A 14,836-nucleotide genomic window follows, 5' to 3' on the forward strand; every position below is an offset into this window, starting at 1 on the left:
CTTCCAACACTATGTTGAATAGGAGTGGGGAGAGAGAGCATCCCTGTCTTGTGCCAGTTTTCAAAGGGAATGCTTCCAGTTTTTGCGCATTCAGTATGCTATTGGCTTTGGGTTTGTCATAAATAGCTCTTATTATTTTGAGATACATCCCATCAATACCTAATTTATTGAGAGTTTTTAGCATGAAGGGCTGTTGAATTTAGTCAAAGGCCTTTTCTGCATCTATTGAGATAATCATGTGGTTTTTGTCTTTGGTTCTGTTTATATGCTGGATTACATTTATTGATTTGCGTATGTTGAACCAGCCTTGCATCCCAGGGATGAAGCCCACTTGATCATGGTGGATAAGCTTTTTGATGTGCTGCTGGATTCGGTTTGCCAGTATTTTATTGAGGATTTTCACATTGATGTTCATCAGGGATATTGGTGTAAAATTCTCTTTTTTTGTGGTGTCTCTGCCAGGCTTTGGTATCAGGATGATGCTGGCCTCATAAAATGAGTTAGGGAGGATTCCCTCTTTTTCTGTTGATTGGAATAGTTTCAGAAGGAATAGTACCAGCTCCTTTTTGTACCTCTGGCAGAATTTGGCTGTGAATCCTTCTGGTCCTGGACTTTTTTTGGTTGGTAGGCTATTAATTATTGCCTCAATTTCAGAGCCTGTTATTGGTCTATTCAGGGATTCAACTTCTTCCTGGTTTAGTCTTGGGAGGGTGTATGTGTCCAGGAATTTATCCATTTCTTCTAGATTTTCTAGTTTATTTGCATAGAGGTGTTTATAGTATTCTCTGATGGTAGTTTGTATTTCTGTGGGATAGGTGGTGATATCCCCTTTATCATTTTTTATTGTGTCTATTTGATTCTTCTCTATTAGTCTTGCTAGTGGTGTATCAATTTTGTTGATCTTTTAAAAAAAACCAGCTCCTGGATTCATTGATTTTTTGAAGGGTTTTTTATGTCTCTATCTTCTTCAGTTCTGCTCTGATCTTAGTTATTTCTTGCCTTCTGCTAGCTTTTGAATTTGTTTGCCCTTGCTTCTCTAGTTTTTTAATTGTGATGTTAGGGTGTCAATTTTAGATCTTTCCTGCTTTCTCTTGTGGACATTTAGTGCTATAAATTTCCCTCTACACACTGCTTTAAATGTGTCCCAGAAATTCTGGTATGTTGTGTCTTTGTTCTCATTGGTTTCAAAGAACATCTTTATATCTGTCTTCATTTCGTTATTTACCCAGTAGTCATTAAGGAGCAGGTTGTTCAGTTTCCATGTAGTTGTGTGGTTTTGAGTGAGTTTCTCAATCCTGAGTTCTAGTTTGATTGCACTGTGGTCTGAGAGAAAGTTTGTTGTGATTTCTGTTCTTTTACATTTGCTGAGGAGTGCTTTACTTCCAACTAAGTGGTCAATTTTGGAGTAAGTGTGATGTGGTGCTGAGAAGAATGTATATACTGTTGATTTGGGGTGGAGGGTTATGTAGATGTCTGTTAGGTCTGCTTGGTACAGAGCTGAGTTGAAGTCCTGGATATCCTTGTTAGCCTTCTGTCTCGTTGATCTGTCTAATACTGACAGTGGGGTGTTAAAGTCTCCCATTATTATTGTGTGGAAGTCTAAGTCTCTTTGTCGGTCTCTAAGGACTTGCCTTATGAATCTGGGTGCTCCTGTGTTGGGTGCATATATATTTAGGATAGTTAGCTCTTCTCGTTGAATTGATCCCTTTACCATTATGTAATGGCCTTCTTTTGATGTTTGTTGGTTTAAAGTCTGTTTTATCAGAGACTAGGATTGCAACCCCTGCTTTTTTTTTTTGTTTTCCATTTGTTTGGTGTATCTTCCTCCATCCCTTTATTTTGAGCCTATGTGTGTCTCTGCACATGAGATGGGTCTCCTGAATACAGCACACTGATGGGTCTTGACTCTTTATCCAATTTGCCAGTCTGTGTCTTTTTTTTTTTTTTTTACTTTTTTTAAAATTTTATTATTATTATACTTTAAGTTTTAGGGTACCTGTGCACAACGAGCAGGTTTGTTACATATGTATACATGTGCCATGTTGGTGTGCTGCACCCATTAACTCGTCATTTAGCATTAGGTATATCTCCTAATGCTATCCCTCCCCCCAAGTCTGTGTCTTTTAATTGGAGCATTTAACCCATTTACATTTAAGGTTAATATTGTTATGAGTGAATTTGATCCTGTCATTACAATGTTAGCTTGTTATTTTGCGCATTAGTTGATGCAGTTTCTTCCTAGCATCAATGGTCTTTACAATTTGGCATGTTTTTGCAGTGGCTGGTACCAGTTGTTCCTTTCCATGTTTAGTGCTTCCTTCAGGAGCTCTTGTAAGACAGGCCTGGTGGTGACAAAATCTCTCAGCATTTGCTTGTCTGTAACAGATTTTATTTCTCCTTCACTTATGAAGCTTAGTTTGGCTGGATATGAAATTCTGGGTTGAAAATTCTTTTCTTTAAGAATGTTGAATATTGGCCCCCACTCTCTTCTGACTTGGAGGGTTTCTGCCGAGAGATCAGCTGTTAGTCTGATGGGCTTCCCTTTGTGGGTAACCCAACCTTTCTCTCTGGCTGCCCTTAACATTTTTTCCTTCATTTCAACCTTGGTGAATCTGACGATTATGTGTCTTGGGGTTGCTCTTCTCAAGGAGTATCTTTGTGGTGTTCTCTGTATTTCTTGAATTTGAATGTTGGCCTGCCTAGCTAGGTTGGGGAAGTTCTCCTGGATAATATCCTGCAGAGTGTTTTCCAACTTGGTTCCATTCTCCCCATCACTTTCAGGTACACCAATCAGATGTAGATTTGGTCTTTTCACATAGTCCCATATTTCTTGGAGGCTTTGTTAATTTCTTTTTACTCTTTTTTCTCTAAACTTCTCTTCTCGCTTCATTTCATTCATTTGATCTGCTATCACTGCTACCCTTTCTTCCACTTGATTGAATCAGCTACTGAAGCTTGTGCATGTGTCACGTAGTTCTCATGCCATGGTTTTCAGCTCCATCAGGTCATTTAAGGTCTTCTCTATGCTGTTTATTCTAGTTAGCCATTAGTCTAATCTTTTTTCAAGGTTTCTAGCTTCCTTGTGATGGGTTCAAACATCCTCCTTTAGCTCAGAGAAGTTTATTACTGACCTTCTGAAGCCTACTTTTGTCAGCTCATCAAAGTCATTCTCCGTCCAGCTTTGTTCCATTGCTGATGAGGAGCTATGATCCTTTGGAGGAGAAGAGGTGCTCTGGTTTTTAGAATTTTCAGCTTTTCTGCTCTGGTTTCTCCCCAGCTTTGTGGTTTTATCTACCTTTGGTCTTTGATGATGGTGACGTACAGATGGGATTTTGGTGTGAATGTCCTTTATGTTGATGTTGATGCTATTCCTTTCTATTTGCTAGTTTTCTTTCTAACAGTCAGGACCCTCAGCTGCAGGTCTGTTGGAGTTCGCTGGAGGTCCACTCCAGACCCTGTTTGCCTGTGTATCACCAGCAGAGGCTGCAGAACAGTAAATATTGCCACCTGATCCTTCCCATGGAAGCTGCATCTCAGAGAGTCACCCAGCTATATGAGGTGTCAGTCAGCCCCTACTGGCAGGCGTCTCCCAGTTAGGCTACACGGGGGTCAGGCTACTTGAGGAGGCAGTCTGTCTGTTCTCAGAGCTCAAACTCTGTGCTGGGAGAACACTGATCTCTTCAGAGATGTCAGACACAGCCATTTAAGTCTGCAGAAGTTTCTGCTGCCTTTTGTTCAGCTATGCCCTGCCCCCAGAGGTGAAGTCTACAAAGGCAGGCAGTCCTCGTTGAGCTGTGGTGGGCTCCACCCACTTTGAGCTTCCTAGTGCCTTTGTTTACCTACTCAAGCCTCAGCAATGGCAGACGCCCCTCCCCCAGCCTAGGCTGCCACCTGGCAGTTCAATCTCAGACTGCCGCACTAGCAGTGAGCAAGGCTCCGTGGGCGTGGGACCCGCCGAGCCAGGCATGGGATGTAATCTCCTGTTGTGCCATTTGCTAAGACAGTTGGAAAAGCACACTATTAGGGCGGGAGTGTCCCAGTTTTCCAGGTACTGTCTGTCACAGCTTCCCTTGGCTAGGAAAGGGAATTCCCCCTGACTCCTTGTGCTTCCTGGGTAAGGCAACGCCCTGCCCTGTGTTGGCTCACCCTCCGTGGGCTGCACCTACTGTCCAACCAGTCCCAGTGAGATGAACCAGGTACCTCAGTTAGAAATGTAGAAATCACCTGTCTTCTGCATCGATTACGCTGGGAGCTGCAGACCAGAGCTGTTCCTATTTGGCCATCTTGGAACAATCTCCAATTCTCTGAGATTTTCTAAATAGACAATCATGTCATCTGTGAACAAAGACAGTCTATTTCTTCCCTTCCAATCTGTACTTTTATTTCCTTTTCTTATCTTATTGCATTAGTGAGTACTTCCAGAACAATGTTGAATAGGAGTGGTGAGAGGGATAGCTTTGCCTTGTTTCTGACCTTAGAGGGAAAGCATCCAGTTTCTCACCCTTATGTATCATGTTAGTTGTAGGGTTTTTGTTTTTTTTTTTTAATCAAGTTGACAAAGGTCCCCTTTGTCCCTAGTTTGCTAGGAGTTTTCATCATGAATGGGTGTTGGATTTTGTCAATTGCTCTTTTTGTACCTATTAATATGATCTTATGGTTTTTCTTCTTTAATGTGTTGATATGAGGGATTATGTTACTTGATTTTTGAATATTGACCTGTCTTGCACACCTGTAATGAATTCCAGTTGTTCATAGTATGTAATTCTTTTTATATATTATTTGATTTGATTTTCTAATATTTTATTGAAGGCTTTTTCATCTAGGCTAACGAGAGATATTGGTGTATAATTTAGGTTTTTCTACCCTGGCACTAGTTCCCATGAAGGCTGCTGCTCCTTGGCTTCTGTTCCAGTATGTGGTGATTCTCTATATGCACCTTTCTGTCTCTTCCTATTTTGGGGCAATGGTTTGGCCTGTAAACTCAATTCTATGATCTAATAAGAGTTGTTTATTTTCCATTTATGTCTTTCTCTTGTGAGGGCAGGAGTGATGGCTTCTTAGTGCCTTATGTGCTGGGCTAGACTGGAAATGGTTTTTTATTCTACCTAAATTGTGGATTTTCATCCTGGGAATCCTAACACTCTGAAGGGGTTAGGTGAGGTGGAAGAAAGATGAGATAAACGACTTGAGCTTTGCTAGCCAAAAGGTCTCTTTCCTGAGTACTTTAATCTGTCCTTGTCATTCAAAAGCAGCCATGGGCAATAGGGAAACAAACCAGTGTGGCTGTTTCCCAATACAACTTCATTTACAAAATGGGCAGTGGGCCAGATTAGTCAGCCCCTCATGTAGACAAAGTCCTGCCTATATATTAAATGGCAGAACAAAAAAGTAAGAAAGAACCTGGATGGCCTTGTGGAGCCACTGTACCATCCCTGCAAGTTTGTGTGGACTTCTTGCCCTGTGAGACCTACTAGCCCTAAGCTAAAGCTGCTGTTAGTCAGGGGTTCTGTGACTGATAGTTGAATGCATTCTCAATTGGCATGACAAACCCATATCTCATTTTCTTGAGCATTCATTGTTATCATTTCTCAAGGCTTTCTTTTCTACCCACTCATTACTTTGTTCCAACCATTTCATGTACTCATAACTCCACTTATAATCTATCCATAGATTGATCACAAAATTATCCATTCCAGTACAGACCTTGACCCTGACTTCTAGACCTATAATATACTTATGTATAGATATGTGCAGCATATGTTTTATGTATGTATTCAAAACTTCCAACTACATGGATAGATGTAAACATAAATATATATGTATGGGTATTCATATAGAAACATTTTAAATTCCTCTAAATACATCTTGGGCTAACATGACAGTCAATTTTAGCTGAAGGTACAGAATTCTAACAAAAGTACCTAATATTATAACCTACAAGATGTGGCCAAAATGTCACTCAGAGGAAAAATTCTAACCTTAAGTGAAATTATTGGAACACAAAGAAAGACTACAAAATAAAAATAGCAAGAAGATGCTAAAAAAAGATTAATACAAAAAATCAGAAATTAATAAAATATTGCAAAATGAATATATTTGAAACCAACAGACCAGATATGCCAGGGCATGGTGGGTTAAGAAACAGTGAGAGAATTCACAAATGAACAATGTTGGAAATGAGAAAGGCCATATACTCAAGATACGAGGAAGTTTTAAAAATTATTAAGGACTACTTATAACCATAAATACGATAATATAGATTAAATGAATTTTCCAGTAAAATATATGTGAATGACATTTACTTGATAATAGCTTGCAAATGCAAAAATACTAACTGGAGCAAAATCAAAGGTAGTGAATGATAGTTAACTGATTGTAAGCTCTTTGAAAGAAGCTGCCTTGTTCACTGTGGGGTCCCTGACACCAGACCTATGCCTGGTGCTCAGTGGTTATTGGCTAAGTGAATGAATGAATGAATGACTGCTCCATAAGGAAAGAGGCTAGGAGACTTGCACAAGTAAATTCTACTAACCTTTAAAGCACAGTTAATTTCCATGTTTGAGCATGGAAGATAATGTAAGGCTTTCTACCTCATTCTACAAGACTAGGACTTTCCTGATACTAAAAAACCAGATACCACACAAAGAAACCCATACCTCAATTCAGTGCATAGATGTAAACATCCTATGTAAAATGATGCAAAACCAAATCTAGCTGTGTATAAAAGAATCACGACTGACCGGGCACAGTGGCTCATGCCTGTAATCCCAGCACTTTGGGAGGCTGAGGCAGGTGGATCACCTGAGGTCAGGTGTTTGAGACCAGCCTGACCAACATGGCAAAACCCCGTCTCTACAAAAAATACAAAAATTAGCTGGGTGTGGTGGCACGCACCTGTAATCCCAGCTATTCTGGAGGCTGAGACAGGAGACTTGCTTGAACCTGGGAGGCGGAGGTTGCCGTGAGCCAAGATTGCGCCACTGCACTCCAGCCTGGGTGACAGAGCAAGAATCCGTCTAAAAAAAAAAAAAACAATGTCCAATTGTCTATTTATGGAAATGCAAAGTGTTTCAACCTTTGGTAGTCTATGAACGCAATTCACTACATTCACAAATTAAAGAAGAAAAACAAAAAATCTCTGTGATGGTAGCTGAAAAGGCATTCAATACAATTCAACATTTCTTACTGAATATCACATTTTGTAAATTAGGATAAAAGAAACTTTTTACTGTGATAAAGGAAATCTATTGCACGTAAAGCAGCTAATGGTGAACACTAAACATTCCTATCAAAATCAGGAACAAACAAGAATTCCACTACTGCTGCCGAAGTTTGCCTTTTTCTGGAGGTTCTAGACGCTAACAGAATAATAAAAATATATTAGAGGTGTAAATATTAGAAAGGGAAGAGCAAAACTCTAATTCCTGTTAAATGATCTGACTTTTCTGTTTGTTTTCTGTTGCTGCATAACACATTACCAGAAACTTAGTGCCTTAAGACAATTCCCATTTGTTTTCTCACAGTTCTGTTGTCCAGAGTCTGGCCGGGCTGCACTGGGTTCCCTGATTGTGGCCTCGAGAGCCTGAAATCAAGGTGCTGGCTGGGCTGAATTCCTGTCTGGAGAGTCAGGGAAAACCCACTTCTAAGCTCTTGGGTGTTGTGGTCACAGTTCAGTTCCTGGGGTTGCCCAGCTGAGCTCCCTGTTTCCTTGACACATGTCACTCTCCATCTCAGCGACAGGGAGTCCCTCACATAGAACCCCCTCGTGCTTCACATCTCTGAATTCCTCTTCTCTCTGCAGCTGCAGAAAATGCTCTGCTTTTAAAGGGCTCATGTGATGAGGTTAGGTCAGCCCAGATAATCTCTCTGTCTTAAGGTCAACTGATTGGCGACCTTAATTATCTCTGCAAAATCCCTTCTGCAGTGTAACCTAGAGGGAGGCCAGGGACAGGTCATAAGCCCCATCTTAGAATTCCACTCACCACAACTTCTAAGAAAATCCCAAAGAAGCAACTGATAGCATGATAACCAGATACAAGATCAAAATGGAAAAATCAATCGCTTTCCAATAATTCACTATAAAAAGTACTGGGGAAAAAATTTCAAGCACGTAAAGAAACAGAAACTAAAAACAGCCAGAGATAAAACTAATAAAAATGTGCAAGACCTAGACAAAGAAAATTATAAATGCTTATGAATGAACACAACAAAGAGACCCCAAAAGTGGGGAGATTGAGCACATTCCTAGGTCTCCTTTTTATTTTCTTTATTCTTTTTCTTTTTTTTTAATTACACTCTGAGTTCTGGGACACATGTGCTGAATGTAAAGGATTTTATTTCTGCTTTGCTTATGAAGCTTGGTTTGGCTGGATATGAAATTCTGGGTTGAAAATTCTTTTCTTTAAGAATGTTGAATATTGGCCCCCACTCTCTTCTGGCTTGTAGGGTTTCTGCAGAGAGATTTGCTGTTAGTCTGATGGGCTTCCCTTTGTGGGTAACACAACCTTTCTCTCTGGCTGCCCTTAACATTTTTTCCTTCATTTCAACCTTGGTGAATCTGATGATTATGTGTCTTGGGGTTGCTCTTCTCGAGGAGTATCTTTGTGGTGTTCTCTGTATTTCCTGAATCTGAATGTTGGCCTATCTTGCTAGGTTGGGGAAGTTCTCCTGGATAATATCCTGAAGAGTGTTTTCCAGCTTGGTTCCATTCTCCCCGTCACTTTTAGGTACACCAATCAGACACAGGTTTGGCCTTTTCACATAGTCCCATATTTCTTGGAGGCTTTGTTCATTCCTTTTCACTCTTTTTTCTCTAATCTTGTCTTCTCGCTTTATTTCATTAAGTTGATCTTTAATCTCTGATATCCTTTCTTCTGCTTGATTGATTTGGCTATTGGTACTTGTGTATGCTTCATGAAGTTCTCGTGCTATGTTTATCAGGTCATTTATGTTCTTCTCTAAGCCGGTTATTCTAGTTAGCAGTTCCTCTAACCTTTTTTCAAGGTTCTTAGCTTCCTTGCATTGGGTTAGAACATGCTCCTTTAGCTCGGAGGAGTTTGTTATTACCCACCTTCTGAAGCCTACTTCTGTCAATTCGTCAAAGTCACTTTCCGTCCAGTTTTGTTCCCTTGCTGGCGAGGAGTTGTGATCCTTTGGAGGAGAAAAGATGTTCTGTTTTTTGGAATTTTCAGCCTTTTTGCACTGTTTTTTCCTGATCTTCATGGATTTACCTACCTTTGGTCTTTGATGTTGGTGACCTTCGGATGGGGTTTCTGTTTGGACATCCTTTTTGTTGATGTTGATGCTATTCCTTTCTGTTTGTTAGTTTTCCTTCTAACAATCAGGAGCCTCTGCTGCAGGTCTGCTGGAGTTTGCTGGAGGTCCACTCCAGACCCTGTTTGCCTGGGTATCAGCAGCAGAGGCTGCAGAACACAAAGATTGCTGCATGTTCCTTCCTCTGGAAGCTTTGTCCCAGAGGGGCATCTGCCAGATGCCAGCCGGAGCTCTCCTGTATGAGGTGTCCGTCAACCCCTGCTGGGACGTGTCTCCCAGTTAGGAGGCACAGGGGTCAGGGGCCCACTTGAGGAGGCAGTCTGTCCCTTAGCAGAGCTTGAGCACTGTGCTGGGGGATCCACCACTCTCTTCAGAGCCAGCAGGCAAGAACGTTTAAGTCTGCTGAAGCTGTGCCCACAGCCACCCTTTCCCCCAGGTGCTCTGTCCCAGGGAGATGGGAGTTTTATCTGTAAGCCCCTGATTGGGGCTGCTGCCTTTCTTTCAGAGATGCCCTGCCCAGAGAGGAGGAATCTAGAGAGGCAGTCTTGCTACAGAGGCTTTGCCGAGCTGCGGTGGGCTCCAACCAGTCCGAACTTCTTGGTGACTTTGTTTACACTGTGAGGAGAAAACCGCCTACTCAAGCCTCAGTAATGGCAGATGCCCCTCCCGCCACCAAGCTCGAGCATCCCAGATCAACTTCAGACTGCTGTCCTGGTAGCGAGAATTTCAAGCCAGTGGATCTTAGCTTGCTGGGCTCTGTGGGGGTGGGATCCACTGAGCAAGACCCCTTGGCTCCCTGGCTTCAGCCCCCTTTCCAGGGGAGTGAACAGTTCTGTCTTGCTGGCGTTCCAGGCACCACTGAGGTATGAAAAGAAAAGAAAAAATCCTGCAGCTAGCTTAATGTCTGCCCAAATGGCCACCCAGTTTTGTGCTTGAAACCCAGGGCCCTAGTGGCGTAGGCACCCAAGGGAATCTCCTGGTCTGCGGGTTGCAAAGACCATGGGAAAAGCGTAGTATCTGGGCCAGAGTACACTGTCCCTCATGGCACAGTCCCTCACGGCTTCCCTTGGTTAGGGGAGGGAGTTCCCTGACCCCTTGCACTTCTCGGGTGAGGTGATGTCCCACCCTGCTTCGGCTCACCCTCTGTGAGCTGCACCCACTGTCTAACCAGTCCCAAAGAGATGAGCCGAGTACCTCAGTTGGAAATGCAGAAATCACCCACTCTCTGTGTTGATCTCGCTGGGAGCTGCAGACTGGAGCTGTTCCTATTTGGCCATCTTGCCAGCCACCTCCTGTATTTTGTTCTCATAATCTAATATTTTTTTTTTTTTTTTGAGACAGAGTTTCTCTCTGTCTCCCAGGCTGGAGTGCAGTGGTTTGATCTTGGCTCACTGCCTCTTCATTCTTTTTAAACAGTAAATGAATAGCCAGGAAAAAGTTCAGGAAGCACAAGAAGGAGAACATGGTCTACCAGATATTAAGTTATACTCTAAATTATAGTAGTTAAACCCGTGTGTGAGCTTACAGAACGAATCAAAGAGAGTAATGAAACCCAAGAGAGCATAAACATGAAACATAGAATATTCTACTAGTAGCATTCAAGTGCAGGGAAAGTTTGAACTGGTCAACTAAGGGTATTGAAACAACTGATTCTCTATTTAGAAAAAAATGTTAAATTCCTACCTCACAACATGCAGAATAATATATTCTAGATGAATTACGGAGCTAAATATAAAAAACAACAACAACAAAGACCTTAGAAAACACTAAAAAAAAGGAGAATAGATTGTATTTTAAAATTTGGCGATGGACTACGGGTTTTGAAGCAATAAAAGATACAGCAAGGAAATTTCAGGAGGTCTGACTACACAAAAATTGAAATCTATGGACCAAGAAGACCTCATAAATTAAGTCAAAATGCAGGCAACAAAATGGCTTGAGCTCCTAAAAAATTACTTCTCAATTAATTGTCCTGTGACATTAGCCTTCTTGAAAAGGTAGAGATTTGTAAATATGCATATCCATACATAATGCACCTTTAGAGGATCTGATAGGACTCAGAGTAAATAATACCCACAGTTACCCACAGGAAAGGATGGGACAGCTGACAGCGGAGCAGGGAAGGGCGCGCAGAGGGTGACCTTAAAAGATTTATTCTATGTCAACTTCATGTTATTGGAGTACTTCCTGACATCCACATTTCATTTCCTTTTTATTTGGTTAGTTTAAAATATTTCAGAAATAACGTGTTTTTAAAAGTTAAATAACACATAGGTGTGTAGAGTTAACATTGAAAGACTCCTTCAGCTAACAACGATTCTTAGCCCAATTCTACTCCCAAGGGATAATACATTTTGTGTGTAAATCCTTATAGACCTTATTCTTTCATTACAGAATTAATTTGAGATAATTTTTAAAAAGTATGTATACACATAGATAAAAAAATGGGAAAACACACGTAATTTCACTAGCATAAAACGTAGTTGGTTTTATTCATATCCCAAGTATTTTCTATGCACTTATAAAAATATAAATAGTTGGTGTCATAAGATACATATTGCCGTGTAACCTTATTTTTCACATCAAAATATGTATTTTGAGTCTCATTTCATGTAAATAGTTATAATTCTAGTATTGTATACAATCATAGTCATCTGCTTTTTGATGGCTGTGATTGTATACAATACTATAATTAAATTACACCCTTAATATTTCAATATTCGGGTTATTTCTATTTTAATGATAAACAGTGCTTGTAATTGATACTTTCTTGTATATATCACCATACTCTTTTCTAATTACTTTGCTTTTGATTTTGCGGTTAACGTTTTTTGTAAACAACACAAGAAATACCAATGATATTTGTATTTTAAAATATTATGGCAAAAACTATCATAAAAAAAGTCAAAGGACAAATGATCAACAGAGAAATATATGTGACAAATAAAGAGTTAACATCTATAACACAATAAAATGCTTGAAAAATAAAAAGATTTTAAAATCTCAGTGCGAAATAGTCATAAAATATTAATAGATAGTTTTGAAGAAAATAATTACTAACGATCAATAAACATATGAAAATATAATTAATTTGACTATTTGCCAGAAAAATGAAATTTTAAGAAATAGTAAGATAATTTCATGCAATCTATTTGCTTAAAAGTGAGAAAAAATGACACCTTGGTGCCGGAAAGGATTGGGGGAAAAGGCACTTGCATACTTTGCCCGTGGGAACAGGAATAACCGCAACTGTTTTGGAAAGTGATCCGGCAATATCCATTAAAAAGTTAAAATGCGCATACCCTTTGGCCCTACAATCTCATTTCTCAGAATCTACTCTATAAAAATAAAAGTATCTGTACTTGAGGATGTCTATTGCAACACTTTTTGGCCTGGCAAAAAACTACAAGAAGTGTGAAAGGCAATCTTCACAGAAATGTACACAGCATGAATCCAGTTTTATAAAACAGGAAATGGTTTTATAAAATATTATCAAAAACAGTGTTTGCCTCTGGTTATATGAATGTGGTGAAAGTTATGGCAAAGAGTACATCTGGCCTTTATCTTTGGGAGGCAGTAGTTTAATATAAAGAAGCCAGGGCTGGGTGATGATGATGATGATGATGATGATGATGATGGTGATTTTACTAGGAGTATAGATTACTGTCTAACCAAAAAAAATTTTTTTTTGGGACAGAGTTTTGCTCTTGTCGCCCAGGCTGGAGTGCAGTAGTGCGATCTTGGCTCACTATAATCTCTGCCTCCCGGGTTCAAGTGATTCTCTTGCCTCAGCCTCCCTAGTAGCTGGGATTACAGGCGCCCCCACCAACACGCCCGACTAATTTTTGTATTTTTAGTGCAGACGAGATTTTGCCATGTTGTTCAGGCTAGTCTTGAACTCTGTGACCTCAGGTGATCTGCCCATCTCAGCCTCCAAAGTGCTGGGATTACAGGTGTGAGCCACCATGCCCAGCCTCCTAACTGAACGTTTTAAAAAGAGACAAATAAGTTGGACTCTAGAGTATGGTGAAGAACTTCTGCACATGTATATAGGTAATGGGGCAGAAAGGACTGCGTCATCACCCGAAAGGCGCACATGTCAGCAGCAGAGTATGGGTCTATGCAGATAAGACCATCGACTGCCTATCCACATAAGGTTATGAAGCATGGGCTTCCACAACATCCCTGGCTAGAAGACTTGTTGCCCAACTTCCAGTTCCTGGTCTCTTCCCTTATCATCTCCCTCAACAGTCTGCTCAACAGTCTGCACCTGTTGAGTTCTCTCCCTGGTGGTGGGTTCCAAAGGCCATATAAGTCACCTTCAGAGCCCTTTCCATTGGCTGTGGGTGGAGAAGCTAGGAAGCTGCAGTCTTCCCTTCTCACCCCCTCCTTCTGTCCCTCCCGTCCTATGTTTCCTGGCCAGCCTGTGACAGCTTTGCTGGGATATGCTGTAATGTCCAGAGTTGGATCCAGCACCAGCAGGATGAAAATAGAATCTGGGAAACTAGCATAGTACTCACCCTGCTCAAAATCAGAAAGCCTGGAGAGGACAAGAGGACCGGGAAATACCCACATTTCTTCTGTCCCCAGCAGGAGTCTGGAGTTGCAGGAACCAGGAAAAGTCAGGGTACCAGGAACACACAGTCAGTTGAAATGAGGACACGAGGAACTGGCTTCTCTCTCTTTCCTGCCCCTCCTTGGAGCCCTGGTGCTGGCTGCTGCATTACTCAGCCATCTGCATGAGGGTTGCCTGGGTGGCGATCTCTGGAATCACAACATTCTGGGGTGACGTTCCCAACTAAAAATAATTCCTAAGCCTGGGCATTTGGCACTCTAGTGCAGATCCAAAGAGGCAACTCCTTCAGTCTCTGACCTTGAAATGAGATTCCCCCCAACCCACCCCCCACCCCCCCGCAAGAGCAAGAATGAGCAGCTCTTCGGCTCCTTCAGCCAGGGAGCAAACAAGAAGTGGCCTCTGAAAGATCCTAAAACCATCCTAACATAAAAATGCCCCCATTCTCTTTATGTGAACTGCGTGGCTAAAACTATCCTAACATAAAAATGCCCCCATTCTCTTTATGTGAGCTGCGTGGCCGGTCAGCCACTTTTCCTGGACTGTGTGGAGCAGGAAGCAGCTGCCCTTCTCACCAACCTCCCGCTTCTCACCTCATTCAATGCTTACAAGGAGGGACTCACTGGATTTGAATGAATGACAGGAGGGACTTTCATTCCAGTTGCCTTGCTGTTCAGTCTGGCACGTCACATGCCAGGTGGTACAGCAGAGTGACTTGGCAGGCTCTGGAAACACACTGCAGGAGGTTCGTGAGTTCATGTCCCGCTACAGACGTTGGGATTCAGGACACTTCTCTAGGCCTCAGTTTTCCCAACTGAAAATGAGGATAATGACCACTCATGAATGAGTTACCGCAGATGAAGCACTCAGCACTGAGATTTTCCAGAGGTATCAAGGGCCCTTCTTTTTTATTCCCTAGTGAAACACGTTGCCTGCTCCCTTATAAGAAAGTATCATTGAAAAGGGTTTTAAGATGCCTGACTTGAATCA

The 14,836-nt window shown here is 41.4% G+C and overlaps 1 protein-coding gene across 1 annotated transcript in view; it reads right to left on the minus strand.

Annotated features, from left to right (window-relative positions):
• NFIL3 (nuclear factor, interleukin 3 regulated) overlaps positions 1-13,944 on the minus strand; it is a 74,453-nt gene extending 60,509 nt beyond the window's left edge. The window contains exon 1 of the mRNA XM_047423425.1: positions 13,794-13,944. The gene's annotated coding sequence lies outside the window, so the exon portion shown is untranslated. The remainder of the gene's footprint in view (positions 1-13,793) is intronic.
• Positions 13,945-14,836: the final 892 nt, after the last annotated feature.

This window comes from Homo sapiens, chromosome 9, assembly GCF_000001405.40.
Source record: "Homo sapiens chromosome 9, GRCh38.p14 Primary Assembly".
Classification (NCBI taxonomy): domain Eukaryota; kingdom Metazoa; phylum Chordata; class Mammalia; order Primates; family Hominidae; genus Homo; species Homo sapiens.